Source organism: Homo sapiens, chromosome 7 (assembly GCF_000001405.40).
Source record: "Homo sapiens chromosome 7, GRCh38.p14 Primary Assembly".
NCBI lineage: Eukaryota > Metazoa > Chordata > Mammalia > Primates > Hominidae > Homo > Homo sapiens.
Window position 1 is genome coordinate 131,581,293 of NC_000007.14, and position 4,131 is coordinate 131,585,423.

At 49.9% G+C, this 4,131-nt stretch overlaps 2 annotated features.

Annotated features, from left to right (window-relative positions):
* Positions 417-1,021: an enhancer, noted in NCBI's record as "H3K27ac-H3K4me1 hESC enhancer chr7:131266468-131267072 (GRCh37/hg19 assembly coordinates)". NCBI's record gives its function as "activates a minimal SCP1, AML or CMV promoter by ChIP-STARR-seq in primed H9 embryonic stem cells {active_cell/tissue: H9 hESC(primed)}" and the evidence as "EXISTENCE:reporter gene assay evidence [ECO:0000049][PMID:30033119]".
* Positions 2,981-3,481: an enhancer, noted in NCBI's record as "H3K27ac hESC enhancer chr7:131269032-131269532 (GRCh37/hg19 assembly coordinates)". NCBI's record gives its function as "activates a minimal SCP1, AML or CMV promoter by ChIP-STARR-seq in primed H9 embryonic stem cells {active_cell/tissue: H9 hESC(primed)}" and the evidence as "EXISTENCE:reporter gene assay evidence [ECO:0000049][PMID:30033119]".

Genomic DNA, 4,131 nt, shown 5'->3' on the forward strand with positions numbered 1-4,131 from the left:
TGCCAGGACAGGCTGTGATTCCCTGAAATGTGCCAGGGGAGCGTGCGGAACATCTTGTCAGATATATAAATATCAGGCAGGCTTATTGGGTGTCTATGGCCACATACTTTTAATTCGGCAACCCTGCCCCCGGTGGTGGGCACCCTGCCAGTCTGCATTCCCACATCCTGCCGCCGGCTCCTGGCCCACCCGTTTCTATATTGAGGAGCTCCTCTCCATAAATAAAGCACAGGAGTCAGGCACCAAAGAAAGGCCATTTGGAGCGCCGGGAAGGCTGTCACATGGGCCAACAAAGGGCAGGAAGTGCCGGGTGGTGGCCCCTGTGTCCGTCCCCGGGCCCAGCTCACCTGGCTGGGCTATGGGGCCTTTGTGCAAAAACTATCAGGCCCAAGTCCTGAACTTCCTGCCATTTGTCAGGCTGTGCTGTGACCCGGGGTTCACTGAAATGCTTGCTGCTCCCAACAATGCACACACACATCCTTTGGAAAAATTCTCTCTCTCTCTCCCATCCAGGCAGCAATGGCTTTTTTTGGAAGCGGCTGCAGGGATGCAGGGCTGAGCAGTGGAAAGTTAGGTTGCATTTCCCTCCTGAAGAGGCCCCACTCAGAGAGGGAAAGGAGAGGGCAGAGCCCCAGCAGCAGGGGACTGAAGCTCAGGGCTCTCACCCCAGGAGCTGTGCCGCCATGGTGTGGGGGTGTCTGTGTCTGGGACTCATTTGCTTCCGGCTCCTGTTCACCACTCCAGATGCCCCCTCCCTCCTGGCTCCTCTGAGACTCAAGGGCTTCACTGCCCAAGAGTGGGAAGCAGTGAGTGTCACAAACACCTGCGTGCCTACAGAGTCCAGTTTCCAGGAGCACAAAATCAGGACAAATGGGCTGGGTGGGGTGGCTCACACCTGTAATCACAGCACTTTGGGAGGCTGAGGCAGGTGATCACTTGAGGTCAGCAGTTCAAAACCAGCCTGGCCAACATGGTGAAACCCTGTCTCTACTAAAAATACAAACATTAGCTGGATATAGTGGCGGATGCCTGTAATCCCAGCTACTTGGGAGGCTGCGGAAGGAGAATCGCTTGAACCCAGGAGGCGGAAGTTGCAGTGAGCCAAGATCACTCCATTGTACTCCAGCCAGCCTGGGCAACAGAGTAAGGCTCTGTCTCAAAAAAAAAAAAAAAAAAAAAAAAAAAAAAGACAAATGTTTGAGACAGAGTCTAAGGGGATGGACAGCTGGGTGTGGGGTCATCCGCTGCACTGCCTGGACTAGTCATGTCCCTGGATCCCAGTCCTGATCTGGTGAGAGGACACTCAGGATAGCTTCCCCTGCCAATAACCAAAGCAAGAGATCAAATGACTACTCCACTCACTTGAGCTGTGCTCAGCCCTGGTGAGGGGCTGTCGACAGTGGCTCCCAAATGCTGGGATGGACATTGATAAAGTGGTCACCTGTCCCCTGGGAACTGAAAAAGAAAAGACATGTAATGAATCTTCCATCTTGCTAAATGTATTCCATGGAAAAGACTGTCCTCTTTTTCTGAGATTTTCTGAAACAAAGAAAAAGAAAAATATGTTGAATTTTTCTATACTGCTAAGCTTATTCAGTTTCAAAAGTTGTTTATTCCACTTTTGAAATTGAATAAATAAAGTTGTGTATTCAACTTTTGAAATTGAATAAGCTTAGCAGTATAGCGTTATTTCAAAAGTTTATTCTAGGATTATGTTCTTTCTCCTTTCTTAGTGTTAAAATGTGACTTTGTTTATGACAACACAGTAATTTAAAAAATGTGTTTGTTTGGGCCGGGTGCGGTGGCTCATGCCTGTAATCCCAGCAATTTGGGAGGCCGAGGCGGGCGGGTCACCTGAGGTAGGGAGTTCGAGACCAGCCTGACCAACATGGAGAAACCCCGTCTCTACTAAAAATACAAAATTAGCTGGGGGTGGTGGCACATGCCTGTAATCCCAGCTACTTGGGAGGCTGAGGCAGGAGAATCGCTTGAGCCCAGGAGGCAGAGATTGTGGTGAGCCGAGATCACACCATTGCACTCCAGCCTGGGCAACAAGAGTGAAACTCTGTCTCAAAAAAAAAAAAAAAAAAAAAAGGAAAAAAATGTGTTTGTTTGATAAAATAAAAAGTTGACAACCCTGTGCTAGTCTTCCAAATGAAAAATCGAGAGCCTGTGGTTTGTGAAGTTCCCAAGTGGAGGAGCCAGGGCCATGGGGGACACAGAAGACGTAGGAGACAAGGTTGTTGCCCTCGAGCTTGTGACATGGTTGGTGGGACGCAAAGCCTGTAATGTGGCACATTATAAGACCTCCCGGGTCTGTGCCCAAGTGTGTGGAAGGAGTGACTCATGCTGTTGGAACTAAGAGTCGAGGCTGGTCAGAGGCAGCACCTGCCACATCGGTCCATAGAAAGTGCTCAGTTAAAATTGGCTGAATTGGCCGGCCATGGTGGCTCACATCTATAATCCCAGCACTCTGGGAGGCGAAAGTGGAAGGATCTTTTGAACCCAGCAGTTGGAGACCAGCCTGGGTAATATAGTGAGATTCCAACTCTAAAAAATATAAATATAAAAAAGTTGGGTGAGCATGGTGGCATGTGCCTGTAGTCCCAGCTACTAGGGAGGCTAAGGTGAGGGGATCACTTAAACCTGGGAGGTAGAGGTTGCTGTGAGACAAGATTGTGCCACTGAACTCCAGCCCGGGCAACAGAGTGAGTCTCTGTCTCAAATAAATAAATAAAATAAAATAAGCTGAACCAATGAATGATGGGAAGGCTGGAAGAGGATTTAACAAAACTAGGACTTGGAGTGGGAGGAAGTCTTAACAAGGTAGAGGAAATATTGCCGGCTCAGGCAGAGGCATAGAGGCCCCAAGAGCACGTTTGTGTGGGGGTTACTGACTTAAGAGTCATGGGATTTGATGTTAGACAAGTGGAAGTGAGCCTTGAGAGCCAGACACAGGTGTTCAGACTTGATGCAGCCAGAAACAGGGAGCCATAGAAAGTTCTCAAGCAGGGAAGTGCCGAGAGCAAATGATAGCATAAGTCTATTTCTGTGACGCCTCAGTGTAGGAGACTTGGAATCCCAGTGCCCATGGGGAGGCTGTCTGAGGACTGTGGCCTGGAAGGACCGAGGGCCTGGGCTTGGGCAGTGGTGCTGATGAGGGGCACTGCTGTGGTGGCAAGGGCTCCGGAAGGTGACTGAGATTTTACTGTGGAGTCTCGGAAAGGTGTTGTTGTTTTATTTTTATCTTATTTTATTTTTGAGATACAGTCTCGTTCTGTCGCCCAGGCTGGAGTGCAGTGCAGTGGTGTGATCTCAGCTCACTGCAACCTCTGCCTCCCAGGATCAAGCAATTCTCCTGCCTCAGCCTCCCGAGTAGCTGGGATTACAGGTGACTGCCACCACGCCCGGCTAATTTTTCTATTTTTAGTAGACACAGGGTTTCACCATGTAGGCCAGGTTGATCTCGAACTCCTGACCTCACGTGAAACACCCACCTCCGATTGCCAAAGTGCTGGAATTACAGGTGTGAGCCACGACGTCCAGCCTTGTTGTTGTTTTAAAGAAGCATGCTTGGGCCGTGTGCTGTGGCTCACACCTGTAATCCCAGCACTTCTGGAGGCCAATGTGGTCAGATTGCTTGAGCTCAGGAGTTCCAGACCAGGCTAGGTAATATGGTGAAACCCTGCCTCTACAAAAAATCCAAAAATATTAGCCAGTCATGGTGGTGCATGCCTGTAGTCCTAGCTACTAGGGAGGCTGAGGTGGGAGGATCACTTGAGCATGGGAGTTCCAGGCTGTGGTGAGCCAAGATCATGCTGTTGCACTCCAGCTTGGGAGACAGAGCCAGACCCTGTCTCAAATAAATAAAGAAGCATACTTAGGGCCGATGCAGTGGTTCACACCTGTAATCCCAGCACTTTGGGAGCCCAAGGCAAGAGGCTCGCCTGAGGCCAGGAGTTTGAAACCAGCCTGGGCAACAAAGCACGACCTTGTCTTTAATAAAAATTCAAAAAAAATCAAGCCAGCCACGGTGGCTCACGCCTGTAATCCCAGCACTTTGGGAGACCGAGGTGGGTGGATCACCTGAGGTCAGGAGTTCGAGACCAGCCTCAACATGGAGAAACCCCG